Raw genomic sequence first — 15,553 nt, 5'->3', positions numbered from 1 at the left:
AAATCTACCTTCAGGTAAATTATACATGGAAAAACCACTCAGAGCCGAGTGGTGTCTCCGTATAGCAGCTTAGTCCTGAGCAGATTGAGCGATGGTTTTTGCCAGCTGCTTCAAAAACCTGACAGGCAGGATCTGTTTAGACTAAAATCGATTCCTAAAATAATAGACCTGGACTGACCGTAATTATGTAACTGCAGATCTAAAAATGATGAAGGATTTCCTTATAAATTACTATGGAATCATGACTGGTCCTATACTATCTGGGAGATGAAAGTAAAAAGAAAGCGTGGGGCTCCCATTTCCCTGGTCCCTGAAGAGTTCTTGGGGTGCTGCAGCACACACATTCCCCTGCAAGCTGAGCCTGCTGTGTTGCTCTTCCCAATACCCCTTTCCTCAGGGGGCAAAATGCAGAAACCCTGTCCCAAAGAAGTCTCCCTATGGGATTCTCCTTAGCTGTAGTGATCATGATTACTGTCATCTTTGTCCCCCCTGGTGTTCAAGGTAAGTTTGAACCTCCGCAGCCTTGCCAGCTTTTTGGGGTCGCCAAAGCACATGCCTGCCCACTCACTGCCCTTGTTGTCTTTCTCCCACCCCGTGCAGAGTACATCCAGAAATACGCCACGGAGGAGGCGCTGAAAGAACAGGAAGAGGGTACCGGGGACAGCTCATCGGAGAGCTCTATGTCTGACTTTTCCGAAGATGAGGCCCAGGATATGGAGTTGTAGTAGAAAAAGCACCTGCTTTTCAGAAAGACTATTATTTCCTAACCATGAGAAGCAGACTATAATATTCATATTTAAACAAAGCAATTTTTTTTATTACTAAACAAGGTTTTTATGAATAATAGCATTGATATATATATATTATATATCACCCTTTAGATCTTGATTTCTTGGTCATTTCTCAACCTGAGGTGCATAGCATATTCCCACATTCCATTTGGTAGCAATATGCGGTCTGAATGCATGCATTCATGAGTCCATGTGGCCAAGTCAGCCTGTGTGCTACTGAACTGTCGAAGGAAATAGCCGCTCTGATAGGTAGATGTGAGTAAAAAGAACAGGAAAAAATTGCTTCTTTTATTGGTTTCCAAAGAAACAAACCAAACCAACCAGCTCTTGGATGTGAAGATAAAATAGTGCTTTTTTGAAATGGAGAGGAAAAACTTGGGGAGGAAGAGGCCTGCTGTGGGGGCATCGGAGCCAGCCATGTAAGAATCAGAGCTGCTCCTTCCTGTGAATCCTAGGTGGCCCTATGTCTTCTGTGGAGTTACAGTATAAAGCAGGGAGCTAATTAAGAGTATTAAAACTTAAAACCATTTTTTGACTCTGATTTTAAGTACATTTTTATATGTCAGTTGCTGCCCTTCACACTACCAGGCCCTGCAGCCACAGTGTTCTGTTGGAGAAACTTGGGGAAGTGTTTTCTGAACCAGTTCTTTTTCTTGGGGTAGAGCGTGAAATCCAGACCTGTTTTTGAAAGGACAGCACAGGAGGAGAAAAGTGACTGGGACGATGCTTCCTCTCATCCAAAACACATGCAGAGTCACATCCTCATCCTAGTGTTTGGCAGTTTGAGACCGCTACCCTGAACTTAAGAGCTTTAAATATGAGGGTTGTGTTTCTGGGGGGGTTATTTTTTTGGTGTGTGTGTGTGTGTATTGTGCTTAGAAAGGTTGCAGATTTCATCTTCACCTACCAAGAGGCGGCCGCCTCCTTGGACAAGCCGCTCATGGACCATTAGACTTGAGAAGACGACCCACGTGGTGACTGCAAAGCCCTGGGTACTTGCCTTCATGTTCTGGTTTGGTTTTCCCTTTTTCTGCTGCTCTTGGCAGCAGCCTGGTCATCATCTGCTTGTGGGAGTGGGAAATGGGTATTTTAGACCCAACACAGGTTCTAAATTTAAAACAAATAATAATTGGAACAAATAAAGGTTCTTGTACCCAGAGTGATTCTACATGGGAAAAACAAACCAGCTTTTTTCAGAGAGTGACCGAATAGGAAGAAGGGATTCAGAAATATGATGTAGTAGAACATGCCCTGCAGGAAGAAAATGTTTTCTCTCCTGCGTATGTTAAGAGGAAATCAGTTTAAAATGCCTGCTAATCAAATGTCGACTCAGCTAACCATATGTCCAGGTTGCTGCAGAGTTTCTTTCAAATCTGAGTGTTGCCTGCTGAACTCGGAGGGGAGTTTGGAGAAATTTTAGACAGCAGCTCTGTGTTCTTTTTTTGCCGCAGCCAATAAGATAATAGCAGAATTAGCCAATCCTAAAACCTTCTAAAGACGATTTTTGAGCATCCCACTGGGATTATTTAATTTTTCTTTTTGACGTGTGTTTTTAGTTTAGAAGTGCTGTATTCCACAAGGTTTAAGTCAGTGAGGTTGGAAGATACCCTATCTTTTTTATTCAAAAAGCACAATCAATCTTTTGTTTGAAAATCTATATAAAGTACAACTTGCTTTTAGCATGATTATTTTCCTAAATAAAAAGACAAAGAATTTACTTACTTTATGTTAATTACGGGCATGAAGCAAAAGGTTTTCTTTAAAAAAAAAAAAAAGTGCAGTGATGTAGGGCTGTGGTTAGTTAACCGTACTGAGTTATCCATCTAGCATCTGTGGCTTGCTGGAAGGGTAGTATTAACTATTTAACATGTAATGGTGTACTTCACTCTTACCTAGCACGCTGTCTTCTCATTGCTTTGGGGGAGGGAGGGTCTCTCTGCTGGCACTGTCTAACTTGCTTACCTGCTGACTTTGCAGTTTGCTTGTGCTATGACATTTATTGTAGGTGCTATTTAGGGTAGGCTTAAAGTGCTGGGTGGTGATTTGAGTTCAAACAATAAAAAATTGTATTTTTTCAATATTGTATAAACAATAGTGTTCTAATTACCTTAAAAAAAAATAATGACCAGTTAAGAATTGCTTTTGATCTTGTCAAAAAACTGAATAGACCCCAGTTTCGGGAAGGTGTGTGAGCAGTGCCATGACTCTGCCCCTTACCTAATCCCACATCTCTCTAATGATAAGACATTGGCTCGCCTCTGACCAGAGCCCCAGCACCAGAGAGCGGAAGATGCAGAATTGTCAAATGACCTGCTGGGGGAGGTTGTAGGAGTTTAGCAGATTTGAGTGTGGCTGCAGAGAGAGAGAGTGTGTGTATGTGTGCACATGTGTGAGAGTGTGAGCGAGAGTGTGTGTGTGTCCATCTAAGTGTGTGTGATGAAGGTGGGATAAGGCTCCTCTGTTAGTGCTGGAAGCTCCTGTAATTGCCGCATGGATCCCACTGTGCCCTCTTGTTCTGTGCAAGTCTGTCCTGTCTGGGCACTAACCTTGGTCCCATGCATGTTTATGTTCTGGGTGGGGCTTTGCCTCTCCACTGGGAAACTGACTTTTGCTGGGTTGAACAGAGTCCCTTATGCTTTTTGTCCTCTCCCTGCGCCTGGGAGAGGTGGGAGTAGGAGCCCAAACACACAGGTACAGAAAGATCTGGAAGAAGGCCTGGCAGTGAATCCAAGGACTCTGGGCCCCCAACAATAGATGGTAGCGTAAGTCTGGAGCAGCGGTGTTTCACCACCAAATGCCTTTCCAGGCTGCCCTTCCAACACTCAGGAGAGCATCCAGATCCCTGGGCAGAGGCTCTACATTCTTGGCTTTAGAGGTGGTGGCAGCGGCAGCAGGTCAGAGCCACTTCTGGCGGTTTCCCTCCCCTTTTTAGTGCCCATAGTTTTTGGATCCTCCCTTGAGTTTTACCAGCACAAGCCATTCTTTGCCCCTGTTCACATAACTGAGCTCAAGCTCTTGCCAAACACCAACAAGCAAGATGGTTGCAACCTGGCAACATTGAATCCACCACCCTTGGGCTCCCTCTGGAAGCCCCAGCACCGGGGGGCTTTTGGGCACAGGGTCAGTGGTAGCCATCTTAGACACTGACATTTGGCTTTGTCGTCAATTTCATCACCCTCCTTGAGGTTACTGTGCAGTTTCAACCAGCATTTTATCCTAGTGAGGTCATTATCAGGAGTTGCCATATCATCTCTCCAGTACCTAACATTTCTCATCCACTTCAAAAGCTGTTCTGACTGCCAGCTGGCTGATCTAAGCTCCTGAGGAATGTCTCCTCTCAAAGGAATTTTTCCCTCCAAAGGCCCCCTGAAGTCCTAGTTGGCATTGGCCTGGCACATGCTTTATGTTAGGCCTCCCGTTGGGATGGCTGAGAATCATGAAAGACAGATCCTCCGCTAGCCTCTGTGGGTCAAGTTTCTGGACACCAAGTCTCTGGGAACTAGTGTTTGATTTTAAATGGCATGTGGCCCTTCCTTGTTTCAGTGACTTAGAAAAGTAAAAGCCATTTAAAAAAGTTAGCAAGATTTTTTATCGACTTCCCAACTGGGCTTCCAGCCTTGTTGAATGAAATCATCTATCTCTGATTGGGCGCAACGAACTGCATTTCTTTGGACTTCTGAATCCATGTTTGTGCTTTCTCTGGCCCGTGAACACCTCGGCGATTCTGTTAGGGATGGGATGAGTGGGAGGAAGCCCTTTGAGAAGGGGGAGCCGGCCCTGTCATGCGCAGGTTTTCCACTCATCTGAGGAAGAGCCAGGGCTCTGAATTTAGCCTAACACTCATCTTGGCTGTGGGCTTGGGAAGAAATGGCCATTATTTACAGATTGTATTTGGTACATATTGTGTGATACTTGAAAAGATAAAAGGGACTGCCAGCCCCTAACTGAAATCTGAAGCTTTTTATCGCTTATTTTTCCTCGCCCTGTCTCCTCCCTTCCACCTTTCTCCTTGCATTGTGATGATCTAGTAGGCACGTCTGTCAACAGGACACATGCCTCCTCTGACTATAACCTCTTAATAGTTGTGTATAATGAAAACTGTAAACTTTTTTAAATAAACGTGTATATACCTTGGCAAATGGCTGGACCTTGATCAATAAGATAATAGCCCTCATGATTACTCTCAGCTGGTTTTCTAAAATACCCTCTCTGTTCTGGCTCCTTTGAGCAGCAGACGCTGGCTTCTTTTGGCTGAGCAGCTCTTAGAATGCAGATGACTAAATTAGTTTGGGAAGGGAGTGGCACCCTTAGGCAGTAATAACCAAGAGGCTCTGCCCAGAGGCCTGTCCTTGAACCTGGAACTCAGATGCACAACTGCTGGCTATGAACGGGGCTGTGAGGCTCCTCCACTAGAGCCGTGGAAAGCCCGAAGGTCCCTATCTACCCCCATGCCTAAACCTTCTAAGCCCTGTCAACTCACGCTGAGTGAGGATACTCCGTGGCCTGGAGTTCAAGGACAGTGCAGCTTCCTGCTGGGACTGATCTGCCTAAACAGGTGGTCCTCTGCCAAGTGCTAAGCCTCCTGGGAGATGAGGAACGGTGGGTTTTGCATGGTAAAATGCTAATCGCTGGATTAGACCGTTTCGATTCCTTTCTAAAGCGTTTGCCTTTAGTTACCACCAGATGGCGATGCCGCTCAGTCTAATGGAGACGGTTTTGTTAGCAGGACCTTAAGACAAAGGAAATAGTGTTGCTTTGTTCGCGTGTTCTCATTCCAGCTCTTTTCCACTGTTTTCTCCTTATTCCCCTAAACTCCTTTTTCTCCTTCCCTACATGCTGATGCATTCGCGCCGGTTGACCCGGCTTCATACCTACCTGCCAGATTGAATGAGGTCGGGCTACTGAGGAATGGTGTGCCAGTGCCTGCTCCCTCCTCACTGGCAGGGAACCCCCCAGCTACCCTGGATGCCTCCAGAGCCCAGAAGCAAAACATTCAATACATTCTTTGTGGGTGGCGTTCATGGACCCTTTAGCCAAAGGACTGAACCACAGAGCCATGAGTTCGAGTCCCAGCCCTTCCTTTAGCTGTGCAACTTCAGGCTCCTCACTGGGCTTTCATGGACCTTGGGTACTGAGCTGTAAACTGACATCCCTAGACTAGTAGGTTCTGACTCTGCCACCTTGTGACTCAACTCCACCCAGGCTGCGAAACAGTGCCCCGTCATAGGATAGAGTAACTGAGAGAGGATGCTGTATATTAACCACGAAACACCAGCGTTTCAACACAGGTTTAGAGTTTTTAGACTCAGAGCATTGGGGGTGTAGAGCACTTTCCAGCCTGAAGGGGACTTAAGAGGTACATGGGTCACGTGAGCAGTCATTCCATTGATCTCAATAAGGCAGCTGCTTTTAAACCCCTCCCAGGAGAAGTCTCAGTGCAGTCGCCGGCACTTGGGTCCCCCGACCTCCCCCCTCCACCAACCCCAGTAATCTCACCCAGCACCACTCAACCTCTCAGCCTCAGTCTAGCTGTTTCCCAAGTGGCAGGTGGCTTGTCACTACCTGCCTGAGTCATTGTTCCTTTCCTGGGAAGGGGACCGGGGTTTCTGAGGCACGTTGTCCTGGAAAAGAAAGCTAGTGGGCTCTGAGCCCCACAGCTTTCTTGCTGGCTCTGAAGACTGCTCTGTCCTCCTGGGAATGAGTGGCTGTGACACTGGATCTGGGGGTGTCCCGCTTCCCACCCAGAACCAAGACAAAGGATTTTTCTGACTCCCACAATCCCTGGAGCTGCAGAGGCCTTGCAGCCCCCTGGCAGGCTGAGCAGCCCTATTTGTAAGTAGCATCTCAGGGGCTCATCCCCCCTGAGTCCCGGACAGTGCAACTTGGGCCCAAGCCTGCTCTCTCGGGCCTCAGGGTGTACTGTGTGTGCACCCCCCAACGTCTTGGGACTGAATAGTTATCCTGACCAGGGATTTAATGTTAGAAGATAAAAGATAGGAGCATTTCCCTCTGGCTGTGTGTATGTGTGTGTGTGCATGTGTGTCTGCACGCGCGCGTGTGTGTACCTATGTAGTGAAGGGTGTTTATTTTCAAAAAAAGGGCACTTCTGTGGACCTGGGCTCCTCAGAGCTCTTTGGGGCTCAAGACTTGGCTCCCAGGACCTGGTGTCGAGGGGTCAGAGGTGGCAACAACGGACTTGGACTCCCTAAGAGAAAACTACACCCTTCTGGCTGCCGGTACTTGGCAATGAACCTAGAAGGGGGTGCCGGATGCCAGGTGCGGCTGGCATTCAGGCCTCCCTCAGCTTCCTCTCCTGGGGTCCTGGCCACCAAGGCCAGCCAGCACGCGGCAAGAGGCTCCTTGAAGAAGCTGCGGCCTCCTTGTGGGCAGCCTTGCCTCTGCTTTCCTCAATTCTGTAAGCAGCGCATCAGGGCCTGCTACGCACCACTCATGTGTTCACGCGCATAGGACAAGGCTTTTAAAGATGCACTTCTTTTTTTCTTTTTCTTTTTCTTTTTTGAAACGGGATCCCACTCTGTTGCCCAGGCTGCAGTGCAGTGGCATAATCATGGCTCACTGCGGTCTCAACTGATCCTCCCACCTCAGCCTCTTGAGTAGCTGGGACTACAGTCACAAGCCACCACGTCCGGCTAATGTTTGTATTTTTTATACAGATGGGTTTTGCCATGTTGCCCATGGCTGGTCTTGAACTTCTAGGCTCAAGCGATCTGCCCACCTTGGCCTCCCAAAGTACTGGGATTAAATTTTAAAACGAGTGTAAATTGTTCTGCAAAACAACTTTGTTTTGTAGGACTACGTGTCACTTTAAATGTTGAAAATGTAGCGTCCAAATTGAGATGTGCTTTGTGAAATGCCCCCTGGATTTCAGAGTTAGCACAAAAATAAGAATGCTCTCATGAGCCACCGCACCCAGCTAAACGATGCATTTCTGCCAACTTGAAAATTATGTGCTGGTAACAAATCAGGATTCCAGAAACATGCCCTCCTCCAGAGAGGACCACCATGGGCAGGGCTGAAGAGGGCTTCCCCTCGCGAGTCTCGCTCACTGCAGTGAGCCCTTCGGTGAGTAGAACAGGACATTAACTGCTTGTGCTGTGCCAAGTGGCTTAGTCACACAGTGGCATAACCATGCTAGAACCTGGGTCTTCAGGCCATCCATACGTGTTCTTTCCAAGAATCATGCTGTGCCAAGCTCAGTGCCTGCCCCCAATGCCCGCTGGGGCTGTGGGTACCTATGTCTGTGTGAACCTCATGCTGCCTGGGCCCTATGAGATGCTCCCTGGCTGACCTCCTGCCCAGGGCTCACTCTATGGGCGTGGTCTCTGAGGATCAGGACCTTTCCCCATACACATCCCCATTTCCACTGACAATGGTTTCCCCAACCTCCGGTACCTGCAGTACGGTCAGAAAATAAAACTAGATTTAACTCAAACCCACTTCCTAGTGCAGAAATATAGAAATAGAATGTGATCTACATTTATCATTAAAAACATTCTAGTAGCCACGTTTTTTAAAAAAGGTTAAATGTTTCATTTAACTCAATATATCAAAAATACTTCAGTGTGAGGCCGGGCGCCGTGGCTCACTCCTGAATCCCAGCACTTTGGGAGGCTGAGGCGGGTGGATCACCTGAGGTCAGGAGATAGAGATCATCCTGGCCAACATGGTGAAACCCCGACTCTACTAAAAATACAAAAATTAGCCGGGCATGGTGGCAGGCACCTGTAATTTCAGCTACTTAGGGGGCTGAGGCAGGAGAACCAGTTGAACCTGGGAGGCAGAAATTGCAGTGAGCCGAGATGACGCCACTGCACTCCAGCCTGGGCAATAGAGTGAGACTCTGTTTCAAAAAACAAACAAAAATTTCAGCATGTAATTCACAGTAAAGGAATGAGATAGTTTCGATTCGTTATTTTTGTGCTAACTCTGAAATCCAGGGGGTATTTCACAAAGCACATCTCAATTTGGACGCTACACTTTCAATATTTAAAGTGCCGCATAGTCCTACAAAACAAAGTTGTTTTGCAGAACAATTTACACTTGTTTTAAAATTAAAAATTAATTAAAATTATATACCACGAAAAATGTGATAATCAATAGCCACAGCTGGCTACCTATTCAGAAGCACGGGCCCTAGCAGCCTCTCCGTGCTGCAGGGATCTTTAGAGAAGCAGGCCTGGCGCGGTGGCTCACGCCTATAATCCCAGCACTTCGGGAGGCCGAGACAGGTGGATCACTTGAGGTCAGGAGTTCGAGACCAGCCTGGCCAACATGGTGAAACCTCGTCTCTACTAAAAATACAAAAATTATGCGGGCATGGTTGCACACATCTGTAATCCCAGCTAGGCTGAGTCAGGAGAATCGCCTGAACCTGGGGAGGTAGAGGTTGCAGTGAGCCGAGATTGCGCCACAGCACTCCAGGCTGGGCGACAAAGCGAGACTCCGTCTCAAAAACAAAAAACAAAAACCACGAAGCTGGCAAGTGACAAGAGCAAAGGAGCAACTTTGCTTGGGAATCTAGGGCAGAACCCAGAACCTCCCAATCCGCGGAGAATGTTCCAGGTACTGGAAGGGTGGACGGCGCACCCAGTCCGGTCCCTGGGGGCGGACTGGGTGGCCAGGCCGGAGCTGGCAGTCAGGGGAGCCTGGGCAGCGCCTCGGTCCCCTTGGGGCCTTGACTTCCAGGACGTGAGAACGCCGCCAGTCCTGCCTCGTGGGCCGGAGCCTAGCAGGCCCCGGTAAAGGAATCACTCTGTGGGTTACACCTGTCCTCCGCGGAACTGAAGCTGCCCGGGCTCCAGGCGTGGACAGCGCAGCCCAGTAGGTGAGCAGGCAGGGGCGAGCAGGGCGGAGCGGGTGGGATTGGGCTGGGCGGGCGGGGTGGGGCGGGGCTGCGGAGTCCGCGCGGCAGTCCCCGCCACGGCCACCAGGGGGCGTACGTGCTTCGTGCTTCGGCACCCGCTCGCGGGCGGGAGTCTGGGTGGGGCGGGGTTGGCCGGGGCAGGGCGGTCCAAGTGGCCCGCGGGCGTGGACCCGGGAGGCCTCTGGCATCTGCCCCACCTGAGAGGTGGGAACCGGGCTGGGAGGGACGTAGATTCCTCATCGACGTGACCCTGGTAGGGAAAGAGCCCCCAAAACAGGGAGTTCGGTAGAGGCGCCAGAGCTGACATGGGCACTGCCGCAGTGCCAGCCACGGCCACCAAACTCTCCCAGCACGGCTGGGCGGCCAAGGCAGGGGTGACGACGAGAGGGGCGGCTCAGCCCACCTCCCCCGCTGATCTGTCGGGAAAGGAGGAAGAAGGGTCATGAAAGCCTCACACACCGCTAGGAGGGGGCATCCTGGAGCAGGGGGCTGGATCAGGACCCGGCTGGATGGGAAGGAGCTGGGTAAAGGGAGGGCACCCGGGTAGGGCGTGGCCCGGGCTGTGCGGGGAGCGGGGAGCGGGGAGTGGACTCAGGGGGAGGGGTCAGCGTTCTGGCTGGCCCGGGGGCACGTGGCCGGGGGGCAGGGTGGGAAGAGGGTGGGATGGTGGGGTGCTGGCTTGGGGCCAGGTCAGGCATCAGAGGCACAAAGTAAAGGATACAGAGAGAGGGGAAGGGAGAAAGGGAGAGACAGAGACCTGAAGCGGGAGGGCCGAGCGGCAGGGCGGGAGGCGAGGATAGTGGGTGGGGCTCGGGCTGCAGGGCTGGAGCCTGGGGGATCTGGAGCACAGGGGCAGGAGGAAGGGACCGGAAGGATACCTGGGCCTGCAGGGCGTTCCCTGCGGAGATTGATTGAGTGAAGACTGCGACGTCCACCTTCAGGGCTCTCTCTAGCTCCCTCTTCCTGTCTCCTATCACTTGCTCTGGGGGAAGCCAGCGGGTTGTTTTGAGCTGCCCTCTCCTTTGGAGAGCCCCACCTGGCTGGGAACCGAAGCCCTGAACCAACAGCCAGCAAGAGCTGAGGCTTGGCGACCACCAGCGCGTGAGCCGGCTGTGGATGCCCGGACCCGGTGCAGCTGAGAATGGCTGCGGCAGGCCTCATCAGCGATCCTGAGCCGCAGCAGCCTGAGAGCAGCTTCCCGGGCTCCTGACCCTTGGAAACTGGGAAATAGATGGGAATGCGGGTTTGCTGCTTTAAGGTTCTAAGTTTTGGGTGTAATCCATTATGCAGCAATAGATACCTAATAGTCTGTGGTTTTTTGGAACCACTGTATTTTCCCCATACTGCTTATCTCTTAACTAGTTTTATGTGAGATAGAAAAATAGGCCGGGCACAGTGGCTCACGCCTGTAATCCCAACACTTTAGGAGGCCGAGGCAGGAGGATCACTTGAGCCCAGGAGTTCCAGACCAGCTTGAGCAACATAGGGAGACCCGTCTCTACAAAAAATGTAAAAATCAGCCCAGCGTGATGGCACACGTCTGTGGTCCCAACCACAAGAGAGGCTAAGGTGTGAGAGCCACTTGAGCCCAGGAGGTTAAGGCTGCAGTGAGCCAAGATTGTGACATTACACTCCAGTCTGGGCTGCAGAACGTGACCCTGTCTCAAAAAATAATAATAATAATTTGTAGCATATTTAAGGCACTGCTATAAATTTTTTAATTTTCTACTTATTACAACTAAACCTAATCTTAAATGATTCTATAATAAAGACTGGAAATAAGAATAGAATGGGAAATTCGTTTCCTATTCTTTCTGTCTGTCATTCTAGCTTTGACTTCCATTTGGAAGGCCACCTCATGGTTCAATACAGTGGCTGGAGCTCCAGAGAAAAGGTGCTCATCTCTCAGCCGACAGCTCCTTTTTTTTTTTTTTTTTTTTTTTTTTTTTTTTGAGACAGGGTCTCATCTGTCATCCAAGCTGGAGTGCAGTGGTGCGATCTTGGCTCACTGCAACCTCCACCTCCCAGGTTCAAGCGATTCTCCAGCCTCAGCCTCCAGAGTAGCTGGGATTACAGGCGCCCACCACCACACTCAGCTAATTTTTGTATGTTTAGTAGAGACAGGGTTTCACCATGTTGGCCAGGCTGATCTTGAACTCCTGATCTCAAGTGATCCACCCACCTCGGCCTCCAAAAGTGCTGGGATTACAGGCGTGAGCCACCACACACGGCCTGACAGTTCCTTTTAAGGAGTCTTGGAAGCCTCCTCCACGCTTCCACTTAAACCTCATGGGCAAAACTGAGCCACAGGCCCACACCCTGCTTAGGGGAAGTTGGGAAATATACTTCTTCACCTGGGCACATTGCCCCCTTGAATAAAATTGGGGTTCTAGTGTAACGTGGACCTTGCATTTTTGGAACTTATTAGAACAAGTCAGCTCTTTAAAAAATTGTGAGACAATTGGGGAAATTTAAACAATAAGTAGTATGTTATGATATGAATAAATTATGATTTTTTTTTTTTTAGAAAGGATCTCACTCCATTGCCCAGGCTGGAGTGCAGTGGCACAACCATAGCTCACTGCAGCCTCAATCTCCGTGGCTCAAGTGATCCTCCCACCTCAGCCTCCCAAGTAACTGGGACCACAGGCGCACGCCACCATGCCCAGGTAATTATTTGGGGTTTTTTTAGATGTGAGGTCTCACCCTGTTGCCCAGACTGGTCTCAAACTCCTGAGCTCAAGCCATCCTCCTGCCTTGGCCTCCCAAAGTGTTAGGATTACAGGCGTGAGCCGCCACACCTGGTGATTATTTTTCTATAGGTGAGAAAGGTATTGTGTTTTGTGATAAAGGTATTGTGTTTTATATGATATTGTGCATATGTATATATTTACTAGTGTATATGTTCAAAAATCACCTGTTGGAAATACTTACTGAATTTATGGATGAAATTATATGTCCAGATTTGTTTCAGAATAATCCAATAATGGGGTGGGAATGTAATAGAAGAAACAAGGTTAGCCATGTGTTAAAGCTGAATGACGGCTATGTGGCATTCTTTATACCATTCTCTGTTTTAAATAGGTTATACATTTTTCATAATAAAAATTTCTTTAGTCTGTTTTTTTGTTTGTTGGTTTTTGAGATGAAGTCTCACTCTGTTGCCCAGGCTGGAGTGCAATGGCACAATCTTGGCTCACTGCAACCTCTGCCTCCTGGGTTCAAGCGATTCTTCTGCCTCAGCCTCCCGAGTAGCTGGGAGTACAGGTGCGTACCACCCTACCCAGCTATTTTTTTTTTTTTTTTTTTGTATTTTTAGTAGAGAATGGTTTAGTAGAGAAGGGTTTCACCATGTTGGCCAGGCTGGTCTCAAACTCCTGACCTCAAGTGATCCACCCACCTCAGCTTCCCAAAGTGCTGAGATTATAGGCATGAGCCATTGCACCCGGCCTTTAGTCTGTTTTTAAGTAAAAGTCTTAAGGTCTATATTTGAAATTTTGCAATTCTAAAAAATCAGGATTCTATTAATATTACTAAGGAATAGGAGAGGTTGGCTTTACCAACATATAGAACAGGCTCTGTCACAGTGACTAGCAGTGGACCTCAGTCCTTAACTGGCAGAGATGGGCCAAATGCCCGGTGATCTGATGTCCTCCCTCCAGGCCTTGCCACCAGCTAGACCCCTCAATTGCCTGGGACTTACTGGATCCTGTGTGTGGCCAGGTTTGCATTCTAGGCCTTGGAGAAAGGGGTTTAGCTGGAGGCATGTAAGACCCTGGCCCAATCCCCAGCAGTTTATAACTTATTTGAGCAACCATCACAAAGCTACAACACCCACACTCCAAGTAGTCACTCCAAGATAGCGGCTAAGTACGTGGCAAAGTACATGTGTGTTCTTTCAGTGAGAAGGGTGAGGCCAAGGTGTGACACCTGGAGGAGGAGGCAGGGATGATAAGGAGAGGAGACCCAACTGAGAGAAGAGCATGGGATCAGGAGGCTTTGCTGAGCCTCGCTGCCAACTGCATGGCCAGAAGGCCGAGGGAAACAGGTTCTGTGCCTGTTTCTGGCCCTAGCAAAGGAATGTGTTGTTCAGGATAAAAAGGCGAGCCACAAAGTCTCCCTGTTAACAGTGACAGTCATAACAACAGCAACAGCAGCTAGTGTTTTAATGTTTCAGGCACCCAGCTAAGGGTTTAACTTACAGCAAGGCCATGAGGCTGGTATGATAACCCTGCAGTGGACACCTGTTATTTCTGCCTACCCAGCATCTGTTCCCCCTTCTTCTGGTATCAGTACTGCAATGCTATTTGAGGGAACAACCCTGCCTCCCTCACCTCATCCAAGTGGTTCTTGGAAGCTAACTCCAAAACTCCCCCTCCCCGCAGTGGTGGGGCCCTCTGACCCAGCCAGCCAGTCAGGTCCCCTACTCCGTTCAGAGAGTAGCACATGACTGGGGCTTCTGTTGAAACCATTGGGAAAGTGAAGAGCCTTTTCCCTCTGGGACTGCAAAGCTCAAAGCTGGTGAGACTAGAACCAGGTTGCAGAGAGGCTGCCTGAGAACCTCCCTGGACTTCTCCTTCAGGGGAAAACGTCAAGCTCCTTCCTGTCATTTGCAATCAATAATCCTGACTAATACACATCTTTAGTATTCAGGTGAGGAACAGAAAGGTGCAGTTATGAGCCCAAGTTTACCATGTCCTCTTAGAGTCTGCAGTAGCCAAAATGGGAAAAGCGGTATCTTGACACTTAGGAAGAGAGACTTCCAAAAGTGCAGATAAAAGAATAAATCTAAACCAAAGCTTTAAATAGAAGAAGGTGGCCTTCGATTAAAGATGGCCAATGGCCAGGTGTGGTGGCTCACGCCTGTAATCCCAGCACTTTGGAAGGCCAGGAGAGGTGGATCGCTTGAGGCCAGGAGTTTGAGACCAGCCTGGCCAACATGGCAAAACCCTGTTTCTAGTAATAATACAAAAATTAGCCAGGCATGGTGGCAGGTGCCTGTAATCCCAGCTACTCAGGAGGCTGAGGCAGGAGAATTGCTTGAACCCAGGAGGTGAGGTTGCAGTGAGTTCAGATCGCGCCTCTCCCCTCCAGCCTGCTGACAGAGTAAAACTGTGTCTCCAAAAAAAAAAAAAAAAAAAAAAAGATGACCAATTGACCATGCGGGTTAATCTCACTCCTCTGACATCAAAACCCCACTAAAATGACAGTAGAGGGTTACAAAAGTGGGCAAGGCACATAACCCACAGACATAAAAAGTAAGGAAGATTAGACATTGGCAAACCAACAATAGCACAACAACAAAAAGATTCTTGTTGTTGGAGCCCAGGAGTTCTGGGTCACCATGAGCTATGATTGCGCCACTGCACTCCAGCCTGGGGGACAGTGAGACCTTGTCTGTAAAACAAACAAACAAACAACCCATTGAAAACTAGAAAACAGGTGTACTTGTAGTAGCTAACTTAATAGATTAAAAACAAAACACTGCAAACTGCCACCCCAAAGATCAGTGGTTCCAGGTTCCTCTGATCAGTGAGGGGTAAACGAAGGACTGTAACAGGAGGTCAAGTTGAAAGCTTAAGACAGCAGGTGCGGTGGCTCATGACTGTCATCCTAGCATTTTAGGAAGCTGAGGTGGGCAGATCACTTGAGGCCAGGAGTTGGAGACCAGCCTGGGCAACATGGCGAAACCCCATCTCTACAAAAAAAATTAGCCAGGTGTGGTGGCATACAGCCTGTAGTTGCAGCTACTTGGGAGCCTGAGGTGGGAGAATCACCTGAGCCCGGGGAGGTTGAGGCTGCAGTGAGCTGTGATGACGCCACTGCATACCAGCCTGGGTGACAGAGTGAGACCCCGCCTCAAAAAAAAAAAAGAAAG

At 48.9% G+C, this 15,553-nt stretch overlaps 1 protein-coding gene across 4 annotated transcripts in view, besides 5 other annotated features; it reads left to right on the top strand.

The window, feature by feature from the left end:
- Window positions 1–4,930, top strand: part of UBE2H (ubiquitin conjugating enzyme E2 H) — a 122,229-nt gene extending 117,299 nt beyond the window's left edge. For all 4 annotated transcript variants that reach the window (NM_001202498.2, NM_182697.3, NM_003344.4 and 1 more), the window contains one exon: window positions 601–4,930. In NM_001202498.2, the coding sequence (NP_001189427.1) occupies window positions 601–725 (125 nt within the window). In that variant the 3' untranslated portion in view covers window positions 726–4,930. The remainder of the gene's footprint in view (window positions 1–600) is intronic.
- Window positions 342–1,001: an enhancer, noted in NCBI's record as "H3K4me1 hESC enhancer chr7:129474501-129475160 (GRCh37/hg19 assembly coordinates)". NCBI's record gives its function as "activates a minimal SCP1, AML or CMV promoter by ChIP-STARR-seq in primed H9 embryonic stem cells {active_cell/tissue: H9 hESC(primed)}" and the evidence as "EXISTENCE:reporter gene assay evidence [ECO:0000049][PMID:30033119]".
- Window positions 9,236–9,285: an enhancer, noted in NCBI's record as "active region_26635". NCBI's record gives its function as "activates an Ori minimal core promoter by ATAC-STARR-seq in GM12878 lymphoblastoid cells {active_cell/tissue: GM12878}" and the evidence as "EXISTENCE:reporter gene assay evidence [ECO:0000049][PMID:35858748]".
- Window positions 9,606–9,955: a silencer, noted in NCBI's record as "silent region_18638". NCBI's record gives its function as "represses an Ori minimal core promoter by ATAC-STARR-seq in GM12878 lymphoblastoid cells {active_cell/tissue: GM12878}" and the evidence as "EXISTENCE:reporter gene assay evidence [ECO:0000049][PMID:35858748]".
- Window positions 10,256–10,335: a silencer, noted in NCBI's record as "silent region_18637". NCBI's record gives its function as "represses an Ori minimal core promoter by ATAC-STARR-seq in GM12878 lymphoblastoid cells {active_cell/tissue: GM12878}" and the evidence as "EXISTENCE:reporter gene assay evidence [ECO:0000049][PMID:35858748]".
- Window positions 10,406–10,455: a silencer, noted in NCBI's record as "silent region_18636". NCBI's record gives its function as "represses an Ori minimal core promoter by ATAC-STARR-seq in GM12878 lymphoblastoid cells {active_cell/tissue: GM12878}" and the evidence as "EXISTENCE:reporter gene assay evidence [ECO:0000049][PMID:35858748]".

Source organism: Homo sapiens, chromosome 7 (genome assembly GCF_000001405.40).
Source record: "Homo sapiens chromosome 7, GRCh38.p14 Primary Assembly".
NCBI classification, from domain to species: Eukaryota; Metazoa; Chordata; class Mammalia; order Primates; family Hominidae; genus Homo; species Homo sapiens.
The sequence above is the reverse complement of the archived record's forward strand: the minus strand, read 5'-3'. Positions and strand labels throughout refer to the sequence as shown.